Consider the following 15,292-nt stretch of genomic DNA (forward strand, 5'->3'; position numbering starts at 1 on the left):
AGTACTAATATATGTCTGTTAGTACTAATATTTTAAATACATGTATTTATTGAAAATCTATTATGCGCAGTTGTAAGGGACATTGTGGGGGATACAATAATGAACAAGAAAAGTCCCTGCTTTTCTGTGTGCTTACATTCAAGTATTAAAGTCAGACAAAAACAATTATGTAATAAATAAAATATAGATCAAGTGATAACAATGAGACAGAGAGGAAAGGTAATGACTGGGTGAGTCTCCTTGACAGAGGGTTTTCAATAGGCTTCTTTGAGGAGATGATGTTTAAGATGAGACTGAAGAGTGTGCACTGGCTGTGGTAAGAGCCAGGGGAAGAATGTCTAAAGCAGAGAAGCAGCACAGTGAGAGCAGCATGAAATAATGTAGGATGAATCTAGAGAAGTTTGAAAGAGATCAAAGCAGGAACGCAGGATAAATTTATCTGAAAGAATATTATCCCTGCTGCTGTCTGTAGAACAAACTGAAGGGAAACAAGTAGAGAAGAGCTGAGTATTCAGGCAAGAGGTTACTCCAGTGGTAAAGGTAATGTAACCAAATGCAGGTCCGAATCGTTGCAGTTTGCAGAGTCCAATTAACAACGACAAGGTCTGGTAGAAAGACAGACACTTTATTAACCAAAAGTAAAGGGAAGGGGTCAGATTCCTATCCAAAATAACCACTTCAATTTTTGAGGGGAAGGCAGGGATTTAAAAAGGGAAAACTTGATAAGGAAGACATACAATAATTGAGCTGAGTACAATGTGTGCCTCAAGGTTATATCTTGATAACCAAGGAGGAAAAAAAAGTTTTAAAATGAATTTTGAAGTTAAGCTGCCTGGTTACAGTAATGGCTTGAACTAGAGATAACTCAATTCCTGCCTAAGCTGGATATGACTGCAGGGAAAGCAACAAAGAGAAGAGAAGGATGGAAGAAATAGAGGAGTGGTCAATTATATTAAATAGTAATGAAAAAGAACAGACTAGATCAATTAATTTAGTAATATGGAGGTAATTTGGTGATGATGACAAGAACACTTTTAAGTGGAATTATGGTGGCAGAAGCCTTGGTGAAGTGGGCTACAATGTGAATGGTAGAAAAGGAGCCAGAAAAAGGAAAATTCTTCTGTAATATGATTTTTTTAAAAAGAGGATGACATTTAGTAAGTAGAACACACATGCTTCAATTTAACGTGAAGAATGAGATACATGGCTTGGACCACTGCATCAACAGGAAAATTAACAAAAAAGAAGATAAAGTAATGGGTTTGCAAAAGAAAAATTGAGTTCTGGATGTTAAGTTTGAGGTGGCAATGAATACTGAGGTAGGAATTTCCAGTAAGTAGAATAGAAATGTCTGGAGTTTTTTTTAGCTAAGAGTGGAATTGAGATAACTATTCAGGAGTCTGCTATTTAAACACAATAACTAAATGGATAAAATAACCCATGGGGAATTTAGAGAGTGACAAGAGAACAGAGTATCAAAGAATACCAACATTTCAAAGAAAAGACAACTGAGAACTATAGATGGGAGAGGTGAAAAAAAACCAGAGGGTGTTGTTTTAGAATCCAAGCGAGGAAAGTTTTTCCAGAAGTGAGTGGTCAACAGTGTTGACTACTACTGAGAGATCAAATGAAATAAGGGCTTGAATTTAGTGACATGAGGCTGCTACTGATCTTAGTGAGAAGAATTTCTATGTAAGGGTAGGAGCAGAAACCAGACTTCAGAGGAATGAGAAGCTGGAGTTAAGGAGGAGCTCTTTCTTCTCCTTCTCTGTCTCTCTCTCTTTCCCTCCCTCTCTGAGTTAGGGGAAACTGCACATTTAAAATGCAGACGGAACAGAGATGCCAGGTACATGTAATTCTATTTCCATTCAAAAACTATTTTGTATGGAATTTGTAATACACTTTTATTGTGTTTACATGTCCATTTTTATGAATGACTCTTTTTTTAAAAAAAAAAATTACAGGTAAGTATCAATCCAGGTGATAAAACAAAGGTAAATAAACAAAAAAATTTATCTACTTAAATCAGCATTCATTGTTTCATTGTTTTATCTGAAATAAACAGACAAAGAAACTGCCAGTCTAGGAACACATTAGGTAAATGTTTAAGGGGTGTATCAATTCCTAACATCTTAAGTGTTGAAGCTAATCAAAAGTATGCACTAACTCTTTATTTCTGTAAATATTACAGAATAATTTCTAGTACAACAAATAATTTTCCTGTAGGATTACTGTAAAAAACAAAAAACAGAACCAGAGACATTTCCACCATTGATAAGGCAATCATCAATACGTTAAAATGATCAGGTGAAATAGATAAAGGAATATCTTATTAAATGTTCAATGAATATTTCACTACCTTTAGTAAAGAAAGCATAAAATGACTATTATTAATGAGGCAACGTTTTAAAATACAGATTGGGACACAATCAGTCTAGACTGTGTGCCAAAAAGCAATAAGACATAAAGGAAGACTCATATGTAATACGGCCAATCAGACATCAAACTCAATTTCAAAAATCCTGAATTTCTTTAGGCTTCTCAGATGCTTGAGAGTTTATAAAAGTCCTCAATGCCCTAGCTTTTGGATACTGCGACAGGACTGGGGTGGGAAGAAAAGTCGGGAAAATCCCTGCTAGGTTTTTCTTAGGCGGGAAATAAATTTTGACCATTTAAACATACACAGGTCCACTGGTTACTAATATTTATCTCATACAGATATCATTACTTTTATTTTTATTTATTTTTTTGAGACAAAGTCTTGCTCTGTCACCCAGGCTAAAGTGCAGTGGTGTGATCATGGCTCACTAAAACCTCCGCCTCCTGGGTTCAAGCTATTGTCATGCCTCAGCCACCCAAGTAGCTGGGACCACAGGCATGCGCCACCACACCTGGTTAATTTTTATATTTTTAGTAGAGATGAAGTTTCGCCATGTTGGCCAGGCTGGGCTCGAACTCCTAACCTCAAGTGATCTGCCCACCTCGGCCTCCCAAAGTGCTGGGATTAGAGGTGTGAGCCACTGTGCCCAGACTCATTATTAATTTTAATAGCAATACTTAAACCATTTTTTACTTCCTTTAAGCCTTTGATGGTATCTCACTATACTGTTTTAGAGAACTGAAAGAAAGCTACTCTTTGACAAAAGAGAGAGCAAGCTAAGTATCCGTTACACAAACACACATGGAATACTTTAGAAGTATTTCCCCTTAACGCCTGCTCTCAATTTAGTTGTCAGATCTTTGTTCATGATTTGAGGAGGAATTAGAAGATATCACTTCCTATTTTCTATCACATACAGTTGGCCCTGGTTTCCAACCTGAATAAAACCTTAAAGATGCACTAATGTTAGCTATTATTATTTACCCTTTACTTTGTGAATAATCTCTCCAACCCTTACCAATCCACAATAGATATACAAGCAATTGTGATATTCTCCTAGAGTCAAAGAAGTAGCAATTACTTATCTGCACATTAGATTAAACCACAATTGTCAGTAATTTAAAATAATTAAGACAATTTTTAAAAACTTAATACAATTTTTAAGGAAGTCTCAGTTATATTATGTACATTTTCCCACAATTAAAAAGAAGTCTCAGTTAAGAAAGAGTAGCAGAAACATTAAAAAACCCAGTCCTCCCTCACCTAATTTATTTGAAACCCTATGATATAAAACAGATTAAAGAAGAGCTGCTCAGCTTAAAGCACAAGTAGGAATCAGAACCCTTTTTACTCTTTTTTTCTCCCTGTCTGCTTGAGCCATCTTTTCCTACTCTCAATCCTTGAGGAACATAAAAAATACATAATTTGAAAAGAACTGATTCTGTTTATCAATAGGGAAAAAATAATTTCATTTATTTTATCCATACTAAGTTTATCTCTTTTTGCTGAAAAAGGTATATTAATATTAATGTCCATATTAAATATGAACATTAGCCAGGCATCGTGGCACGCTCCTGTAGTCCCAGCTACTTGGGAGGCTGAGGCGGGAGAATCACTTGAGTCTGGAAGGCAGAGACTGCAGTGAACCAAGATCACACCACTGCACTCCAGCCTGGACCACAGAGTGAAGAATTTTTAATGCTTAATTCCAGGCCAGACAAGGTGGTTCACGCCTGTAATCCCAGCACTTTGGGAGGCCGAGGCAAGTGGATCACTTGAGGTCAGGAGTTCAAGACGAGCCTGGCCAACGTGGTGAAACTCTGTCCCTACTACAAATAAAAAAATTAGCCAGACATGGTGGTACACACCTGTGGTCCCAGCTACTTGGAAGGCTGAGGCACGAGAATCGCTTGAACCTGGGAGGCAGACGCTGCAGTGAGCTGAGATTGCACCACTGCACTCCAGCTTGGGCAACAGAGCGAGAATAGACTTTTTAAAAAAATAAATCATGGCCGGGTGTGGTGGTTCACACCTGTAATCCCAGCACTTTGGGAGGCCGAGGCGGGCGGATCACGAGGTCAGGAGTTCGCGATAAGCCTGACAAATGTGGTGAAACCCCGTCTCTACTAAAAATACAAAAATTAGCTGAGCATGGTGGTGTGCGCTTGTAGTCCCAGCTACTCAGGAGGCTGAGGCAGGAGAATCACTTGAACCTGGGAGGCGGAGGTTGCAGTGAGCTGAGACCATGCCACTGCACTCCAGCCTGGGCAACAGAGCAAGACTCCATCTCAAATAATAATAATAATAATAATAATAATAATAATAATAATAATAACCATCATCATCATCATCACTACTACTACCACCAAATCATAACAAAAAAAAAAATCAAAACATCACTAACAGGGCCTGGCACGGTGGCTCACACCTGCAATCCCAGGACCATGGGAAGCATAGGCAGGCAGATTGCCTGAGCCCAGGAAACCAGGACCACCCTGGGTAACATAGTGAAAATACGTTTTTCCAAAAAATATGAACATTAGCCAGGCATCGTAGCATGCTCCTGTAGTCTCAGCTACTTGGGAGGCTGAGGCGGGAGAGTCACTTGAGCCTGGAAGGCAGAGGCTGCAGTGAGCCAAGACCACACCACTGCATTGCAGCCTGGACCACAGAGGGAGAATCCTGTCTCAAAAAAAAAATCACTAACGGCGTTACAGGAAACATTTATTTCCAATATGATCTATTTATATATGTTCATGATTTGTTTATTTTAATTTTATCTGAAGGAAGAAATATGTTGCCCTAATTCTTCCGTGATATTTCTCAAACTAGACTGACAAAGGTAAAGATCCTGTTTAAAACTTCATACTTGGCCAGGCATGGTGGCTCACGTCTATAATCCCAGCACTTTGGGCAGATCACAAGGTCAGGAGTTCAAGACCAGCCTGGCCAACATGGCGAAACCCCATCTCTACTAAAAATACAAAAATTAGCCAGGCATGGTGGCGCATGCCTGTATTTGTAGGTACTCAGGAGGCTGAGGCAGGGGAATCGCTTGAACTTGGGAGGCAGAAGTTGCAGTGAGCCAAGATCACGCCATTGCCCTCCAGCCTGGGCGACAAAGTGAGACTCCATCTCGGAAAAAAAAAAAAAAAAAAACCTTCATACTCACTAACAGGGCCCAGCACATGGTTTATACATAGATATTAGTGGCTAAAAAAATTACACTGTAAGGCTGGGCATGGTGGCTCACACCAGCACTTTGGGAGGCCAAGGCAGGTGGATCACCTGAGGTCAGAAGTTCGAGTCCAGCCTGGCCAACATGGTGAAACCCCATCTCTGCAAAACTAGAAAGATTAGCCAGGCGAGGTAGTGCATGCCTGTAATCCCAGCTGCTCAGGAGGCTGAGGCAGGAGAATCGCTCTACCTGTGCGGTGGAGGCTGCAGTGATCCAAGACTGTGCCACTGCACTCCAGCCTAGGCATCAGAGCAAGACTCTGTCCCAACAACAACAACAACGAAATTATATTGTGGGCTTTATCACTGGGAAATGTAGGAAAATATGTATCAAATAATTTAAAATTTGGTGATTTACTATTTGAATTCATCTAAAGGCATCATATACAAGTAATTACTTGCAGAAAACACAGTATTATCACTATATTACTGTAATGAGCTAAGGAATAAACATAAATCACATAATCTAAAGTATTTACAATGAGTTATAAAATACTAAATAAGCACAAGCTGTGGGCAAAAATTACTGATATTACATTTTGCCTGCTTAGAAATCAGCTTCTTTCTTCTTTCTTTTTTTAAGAGACATGGTCTTGCTCTGTTTCCCAGGATGGACTGCAGTGGCACAATCACAGCTCACTATAACCTTGAACTCCTGGACTCAAAGGCTCAAGCAATCCCCCTGCTTCAACCTCCCAAAGTGTTGGGATTACCAGGTGTGAGCCACCAGGTCCAGCCAGGAATCAGTTTCTATGAAATAAAATATGTGCTAATTACTAGGCATATTTATGGTTGTGTTTTCTATTTTTTAGGTAACATTTAGAGGCAATGCCTTCCAAATTTTATTGGTTTTTAGAAATATAAAATCCAGCATGCCCACACCAGAAGTAAAAGCATTAAAAAACACACTCAAAAAGTAGTACAGAATTATTTCCTCTAAATGGCCTAGTTTGCTAAGATTGTACAAACTCAGCAGGTGCCAAATTATCTAAAGATACTACATATTTATTTTGAGAGAATTAATTTGCTTCAATCCTCATTGATTTGCTTTACATTAATCTCTTTTTTGTACACTTCTGCTTTAAGGATTAAATGCAAATAATGGTAAGTAATGAATGACTAATAAATACGGGACATAATTTTTTAATCATTAAAAATACATTAAAATAACTTTAAAAAACCATGTAGGCATGTAAATATTGCAAATAAATAAATTGATTTATCTCAAAAATCTGGGAAATGGTTGTCTACATTAACAATGATAGGAAAGAACTGAAAAGGCCTAGCTGGGACCCTTTAACACTACTACTGCTGCTTTCTTTGAATATCCTCAGAGACAAATTCATTATGGGAAGCTGTCAAAATCATTTAGAACCAAGTCTGATATATTGGGATCAGAATGAATGCTTGACTTTATTGAAAAAGAGAAGCATAAAAAATCATTTTAAGTAAATAATCTATGTCTGATTGAAAACAACGTGGATTTCTCTAGCTGACAGATTCCATCTTCTATATACATACTTGTTAACTTTCGTGTTCACATCTTTATTATCTTTTAATTTTTGCTTTTCTATCATAGAAAGATCTATAAAATCTCCTAAGATACTGAAATTTGAATTATCTTAGCATTTTCATTTTAATTAATGTATTTTGAGGCAATGTTATTACATACACAAAGCTCAGAAGACATATGTTTTCATTCTAATTTATTCCTTTGATAACTATATTGGGACTTGTAAAGTCTTTTATATGTATGAAAAAGGTGAAAGAACAAAATAACAAAATAAAAGTACAAAGAGAAACAAACTTATTGTAACAAGCACAAATATAAGATCTAAGCAAGACAGACAGGGAAGCTTACAATTAGCATGATGCCTCACTTCCCTGGTAGGATCCACAGTGCCCTTGCAACAGGAAGTCAAACTATAATTGGTGGGTAGCTCATATACTAATTTTCTACCTCTCAAAACTCCAAAAGCAATGTTTAAGAAAAGTACAGCCCATTCCTAATGTCAGATTCATCATCACAAATGATATTTATTAATAAGCAACTTCATGAGTATGATTCTGTATCGCTCTCAGTGGTAAACTAAACAATACAGCTAAAGAAACAGTGTTATTTCATAAAGAGAAACATTTAGATGACAGGCTACATTTTAAAAAATGTTTCAATTCTAAATGAAGATGACTGAATATCGGTCAGTTTTCTAGTTGTAAAGTTTTTCTTGTATTAAAGGAATGTTTCAGTCAGTGAAAGGTACAATGAAAGGCAATGAATTAAGCACTATTGGCCTCACTGATGCCTTGCTGATACTATCCCCTGCTTCAGACCGAGGAAAATTAGCTCATACCTAACCTCAATGTGCCCTCAGCATCCATTTCCACCATCTTAAAGTGTTTACAACCTATGCAAGATACAAGGTTAAAACTACATTGCTCAGATGCCCTTGCATTTATGCTTCTAGACATGAATTAGATTCCATCAATCAGATGCACTTATTTAAGATTTGAAAGGTGAACATTTTATGGTCGTTCTCCTTGTGCTTTGAATGTTTCTGTTACAAGCACCATTGTAGAGATGTGGGGGTTTTCTGTTGTAGTGTTCCAGTGTCTAGTTTCTAGCTTTGTGGGAGTTGTAGTGAAGGATTCCTGATTCCGTGATTACAGTAATGGCATCATGTTCTTGATTTCAATAGTGCCACTAGCTGAGAAATAACAGCTCTCCTGGCCTATCTGATGATGAGCTAAGAGTCATTACAGGAAGCCAAGCCTACAGAATCATTCTACAGACCTTCCAACAATAAGAACTACAACAGCCTTTCCACACACACTATTATACGGTGAAGAAACTAGCAAATGTTTAGCTACACCTACCAAAAAGAAATGAGAAAATACATAATTATAGTGGAATGAAACTAGGTACATTACTATTGACAATACAGGAATTATAAAGGAATGTTATTAACAACTTTATGCCAATAAATTAGAAAACTTAGAAAATATGAATTCACCTAGAAAAAGTAAACAGGCCAGGCGTGGTGGCTCACGCCTGTAATCCCAGCACTTTGGGAGGCTGAGGCGGGTGGATCACCTGAGGTCAGGAGTTTGAGACCAGCCTGACCAACATGGTGAAACCCCATCTCTACTAAAAATACAAAATTAGCTGGGAGTGGTGGCATATGCCTGTAATCCCAGCTACTTGGGAGGCTGAGGCAGGAGAATTGCTTGAACCCAGGAGGTAGAGGTTGCAGTGAGCTGAGATCGTGCCATTGCACACCAGCCTGGGCAACAAGAGTGAAACTCCATCTCAAAAAAAAAAAAAAAAAAAAAGAAAAGAAAAGAAAAGAAAAAGTAAACACATTGAATTAGGAATTTAAAATCTTCCCCAAAAGAATAATCCAAGCCCAGACAGTTTCTCTAATGAATTCTATCAAATATTTAAAGAAAATAATGCCAATTCTTCACAAACTCATTCAGAACGCAGAATGAACACTTTCCAACTCACTCTTTAAACCCAGTAGCTCTTTGCTGTCAAAGACAGAAAATATCATCATAAGAAAACTACAGGCCGGGCATGGTAGCTCATGCCTGTAATCCAAGCACTTTGGGAGGCCGAGGCAGGCAGATCACTTGAGGTCAGGAGTTCGAGACCAGCCTGGCCAAGATGGTGAAACCCTGTCTCTACTAGAAATACAAAAAATTAGCCAGATGTGGTGGCTGGTGCCCGTAGTCCCAGCTTCTCAGGAGGGTGAGGCACGAGAATCACTTGAGTCGGGGAGGCAGAGGTTGCAGTGAGCCAATATCGTGCCACTGCACTCCAGCCTGGGCTCTGACAGAGTGAGACTGTCTCTAAATAAATGTATAAAACTACGGATGAATATCCATTACTAACACAGACACAAAAGTACTTGAAAAGCTGGTTTAATATTATAGTAACATTACTGTCCCATATTACTATAGTATGGGACATCAACCTCACAATCAACCTCAACAGAGGCAAAAAAAAAGCATCTGACAAAATCTAACACCTATTCATAACAAAAACTCTTAGCAAACTAGGAACAGATAAAAAATTACTCAAACTGATAAAAAGTATCTACAAAAAACCTCACAGCCAACACCATACTTAATTGTGAAGGACTAAACGCTCTTCACGTATGATAAAAAGTTTTTCATACTTTTACCACTTCTATTTAACATTGTACTTGATCTTCTAGCTAATACAATAAAGCAAAATGGCATTCATAAATTGTTCAACTGCAGATATGATTCTACGTGTAGAAAACCCCAAGAAATCCACAATAAAACAAGAATAAAGAGAAGCAGTGTTAGAGATACAAGAGAGATATATAAAAATCAATGGTATTTCTGTGCACTATTAACAAAACAATCAAAAAATAAAATTTAAAAGCAATTCCATTCACAACAGAAATGAAAGTAACAAAATAAGGATAAATTTAACAAAAGAAGTTCAAGACTTCTACACTGAAAATTACAAAACTATTGATGATAAAAATGGCAAAGATAGTTAAAAAAGATAAAATGAATAATAGGCTAATTTAATATATGGATTTAAAATTACCAATTAAATATAGTAGTTTATCAAAATAATTCTACATTATGCCAAAGCAAGGTTCATTCAAGAAAAATACAATTCAGTGTTAGAAAAAGCATAAGCACCAATTGGTGCTAAAAGGTACTTGATAAAATACTGTTTTGCTTCTAATTAAGAAACAGTAAAGTAAAACAATTTGAATAATAAAATATTTTTCAAAAGTAGATATTCTAAACAGCAGAACACTAAAGCTCATTCAACTAAATGAAATAGATGGGGGAGGATGCTATCACTAGTATAACTCTGCCTTAGAGGTAGAGAATGTGATAAATCATTGGAAAAGAAGAAATGCAATTACTGCTTTGGGCAGATATCAAGTATAAACAGAAAACCCAAACACTACTAAAAAGCTACTAGACTTAATGTAAAAAATTTATAAGGTCCCAAGATACAAAACAAATATCCAAATATGAACAAGTTTTGTCTACATTTAGCAAAAAAAAAAAAAACCTAAAAAAAGAGTGGACAATAAAATTTTATTAAAAATAACAAAAATGGTAACATATATAGGAAAAAAAATTGACCAGAAAAGTCCAGAACCTAAAGTAAGTATATTATGAAATCTCATTGAAAGACAGAAAACAACCCAAACAATAGCCAGGGCGCAGTGATCCCAGCACTTTGGGAAGCTGAGGTAGGCAGACTGCTTGAGCCCAGGAGTTTGAGAACAGCCTGAGCAACATGGCAAAACCTCATCTCTACGAAAAATACAAAAATTAGCCAGGTGTGGTGGTGCACGCCTGTAGTCCCAGCTACTTGGGAGGCTGAGGTTGGAGGATCACTTGAGCCAGGGAGGACCAGGCTGCAGTGAGCTGTGATCGTGCCACTGTACTCAACCTGGGTGACCCTGTCTCATAAAAACAAAAAAACCAAAAAAAAAGAAAACCCAAACAAATAAAAAAGACACCTAATGTAACTGTGGAAAGACATACTATCACAATAATGCCAATGGTTCTAAAATCAGCAAATAAATACAAGAAAGTCTGATAAGAATCCCAAAAGAATTTTTCTAGAATTGGAAAACTATAAATCTTAAAGCTTACATGGAAAATTAAATGAGAAAAATAACTAAGAAATGTATGAAAATGTATAATACTGGGGAAAACTGCCTAGCAGATAGCGGAAGCATTTTTAAAGTAGGTTCCTATTTTCCAAGAAGGAGAAAATTTGATAATATTCATATCTGGCATTGGTACAAATTAATTAAATACTGATAAAATATTATATCCATAAATGATGGCCAGTATGTTTATAAAACAGAACATACACTCAAACTCAATAAACTAAGAGTATATATTTTAATTGAATACATAATATTAATAATAAAAATAACAACTATAAGAACTTTACACAAAGAATCTTTTTTCCATAATCCTCATAACAGCCCCAAACAGCTCTACCTCTATGTTACAGATAAAAAACTTGGGAGAAAGTTAAAGAACTTGCTCAAGGTCACATTTCTAATTTGTGACAAAGTAAGTATTTAAACAAGACAGAAGTAGGATCAAATGAAAACAGCATGTAATCATTAAAAATAAATTCTATATGCTAAAAAAAAGAGAATTTTACCCACATCTACTTGTTAGTCCATGTCCTCCTTAAACTGAACTATGAAATTATGTCAGTAGCCCAGTGACACAGTGAGTTGAATAAAAGGAAAAAGTATAGTGACATGGTTTAAATTATGCATTTCCTTTTTTTAAAAGTTGCTACTGTCTCCATCATATGGTGCTAACTTGTATTTTTTTTTGTAAAACCCTGATATTATTAATAAAAAATAAGACTTCACCATTCAGAAGCCAAATTACAAGTATTTACTATTTTAGTAAATATTCAAGGGGGAAAATATGAAAGATAAAAAAATTAAGGGTAGGGTGACCATATGATTTATCTTCCTTCCAACTCATGACACTTTTGTGAATGAAAGAGGGCACTAATAATAAATACAATGGTACAAACGGTGTGAACTAGGACTGTCCCAGGCAAACACCGACATATGGTCACCCTAGTTAAGAAAAATAATTTACCAAATGATTATTTGGTATGATAATAATAGCAAACATTTTTTGAATACTATGTTAGCATGAACTCCATGATACAAGACTATGTCTTATTCACTGTCCCTAGATGAGTGCTTTGTGCATAGTAGGGACTCAATAAATAATTGTTGAAAGAATAGTTTGCCTTAAAAAAAGTGTTCCTGTGCCTATACAATATAGCTTAATAATAGCTTAATTGTTTAAATGTTATTATGACCTTATGTTTGTGAATAAGTAATAAGCATTAATTCATGCATATAAACACTAAGAAAAATGACAAAAATTAACAAATTCATATCTACGTATTAAAGATAAGTGACAGAATAGTGCAATTAAGGTACAGCACTAAATGAGTAATGATGGCATACTGTATACTTCTAATTTAGAGCCTAATAATAAAAACAACATTTAAACCTACAAAAGAGTTATTTGTTTTAAAATGCTCTCCTATCCTTACCATGATATTTAACCAACATCAAAGGAAGACAAATCTGCTTTCATTTCTTACCTGCACAGCCGAAAGCCAAATGGTATCTGGAAGAGGGGCTGAATTTAACACAGCACACATTAGCCTTTGCCTCAATGCTTGCCACTGAGTTGTCTAGATTGGTAGACCACAGCTTCACTAAGGGCAAAGGACAATAAAAACAAAAAGAGAAACAAGTAATACATTAGTAAATGCTTCTGTAACTTGGGAAAGTTGGCTTATTGCTCCAGAAATCTTTTTGTGCCACTCTAAAACATTTGGTTTACTAGGACTAAAAGTGTTAAAGCTGAATGTATTTGTCTGTTCTCGCACTGCTAATAAAAAGATACCTGAAACTGGGTAATTTATTAAAAAAAAAAAAAAGAGGTTTAATTGACTCACAGTTCCACACGGCTGAGGAGGACTCACAACAATGGCAGAAGGTGAATGAGGAGCAAAGTCATGTCTTACCTGGGGGCAGGCAAGAGAGCGTGTGCAGGGGAACTCCCATTTATAAAACCATCAGATCTCATGAGACTTATTCATTACCACGAGAACAGTATGGGGGAAACCACCTGCTATGATTCAATTATCTCCACCTGGCCCCATCCTTGACACATGGGGATTATCATAATTCAAGGTGAGATCTGGGTGGGGACACAGCCAAACCATATCACTGAATGACTGAATAACAGAATAACATTAAAACCAAGAGAGCTTAGTTTCAATGTCAAAAATCAATATAGATAAAAAGGTCGGGCACAGTGGCTCATGACTGTAATCACAGCACTTTGGGAGGCTGAGGCAGCAGATCACTTGAGCTCAGGAGTTAAGAGACTAGCGTGGGCAACATGGTGAAACCCTGCCTCTACTAAAAATACAAAAGTTAGCTGGGCATGGTGGTGCAGGCCTGTAGTCCTGGCTACTCAGGAAGCTGAGGTGGAATAATCACTTGAGTCCAGGAGGCAGAGGTTGCAGTGAGCTGAGATCATGCCACCAAAAAAAAAAAATGAAATGAAATGAAATAAAAAAAGAAAAATCAATAAAAAGGAAAAATCAATATAGATAAACGATAAATTTATACTCAGATGTAACACAGACCCACAACTAAGACATAAAAGACAGGAACAAAAAAAGCAATCTGGAGCTAGGTGGTATATTTGTTTCATATATATATATATATATATATATATATATAGTTTTATATATATTATTCTTTTTATTATTATTATTATTTTTGAGACAGGTTCTCCTCACTCTGTCATTCAGGCTGGAGTGCAGTGGCACAATCATGCCTCACTTCAGGCAGCCTCTACCTCCTAGGCTCAGGTGATTCTCCCCACTCAGCCTCCCGGGTAGCTAGGTGTGTGTCACCAGGCCTAGCTACCTGTTTTCTATTTTTTTTGTAAAGACAGGGTTTCATCACGTTGCTGAGATTGGTCTCAAACTCCTGGGCTCAAGCAATCTGCCCACCTCAGCCTCACAAAATGTTGAGATTACAGATGTGAGCCACTGGGCCCAGCCAATTATTCGTTAAATGTGTGTGCATATGACTGTATACTGATATACATCATAAATATGAAAATGTACACAAACATCTTTAAAGCACTTGGAAACTGTTCTTATTTTATCTTTCAATTAAGAATTTCATGATTTTAAATTTTTATGTAGTAATTCAGTTATACAACTTAAATATGTCTAAAGTAATATATTCTAGAATTATTTAGTTAAATTGCAAAATTTTGGTTTTGTATTTGAATAAGTAGTCTAAGCCAGTGATATATATTAAAATTTGTAATGATTAGGGAGAGCAAAGCTGACTAAGCAAAATAGGTCTGATTTGAAAGCAGAAGCAGAAAATGAGTTGCCATTTTACAAAGGTACCAGAGCAACTATCATATCATTTTTCAACAATAAAAACAGTAAGACAGGATACACCCATAAAATAGATTTTCAGTATATAAGTTGTCATCCTGGATGCACATTAGAATAAATAAATGAACATTAACAACAACAACAAAATCTTTCCATCCATCTTTCAATCTGTCCCAGTGTCCCATCCAGGACATTATCCAGAGAGGGTCCAGGTACTGTTGTTTTTTAAAAAAGCTCTCCAGGTGATTCTAACATGCATTTGGGGTTGGAAACCAGTATTGGGAATGGAAGCATAGTAAAAAATCTTAGAATATTTTTAGAAATACTGATACAGTAACCTGTAGACAGCAGTGAATAAAATAAGTAAAACTGGTTCCAATAAATACCACTTCTATGAAACGGGATTACGTAAGAATTTAATATGTGAAATCTCCAAGTAGAAATTAATCATTATCAAAAAATATTGCTAATTTACAATCTGATAAATTTATTAGCCTTCCCACAGTAAACTAAGACCCTCAATATTAAAATAGGAATCATTATTATTAGTAGTAGTATTTTTTGAGACAAGGTCTCAAACTCTGCCACCCATCCTGGAGTGCACTGGTATGATCATAGCTCACTGCAGCCTTGGACTCCTGAATTCAAGTGATCCTCCCATGTCAGCCTCCTGAGTAACT

At 36.4% G+C, this 15,292-nt stretch overlaps 1 protein-coding gene across 31 annotated transcripts in view; it reads right to left on the bottom strand.

Moving 5' to 3' along the window:
* COP1 (COP1 E3 ubiquitin ligase) overlaps window positions 1–15,292 on the bottom strand; it is a 262,456-nt gene that overhangs the window by 69,962 nt on the left and 177,202 nt on the right. For all 31 annotated transcript variants that reach the window (XM_047427793.1, XM_047427798.1, NM_001286644.2 and 28 more), the window contains one exon: window positions 12,780–12,896. In XM_047427793.1, coding sequence (XP_047283749.1) covers window positions 12,780–12,896 — 117 coding nt within the window. The remainder of the gene's footprint in view (window positions 1–12,779; window positions 12,897–15,292) is intronic.

Source organism: Homo sapiens, chromosome 1 (genome assembly GCF_000001405.40).
Source record: "Homo sapiens chromosome 1, GRCh38.p14 Primary Assembly".
Taxonomy (NCBI): domain Eukaryota; kingdom Metazoa; phylum Chordata; class Mammalia; order Primates; family Hominidae; genus Homo; species Homo sapiens.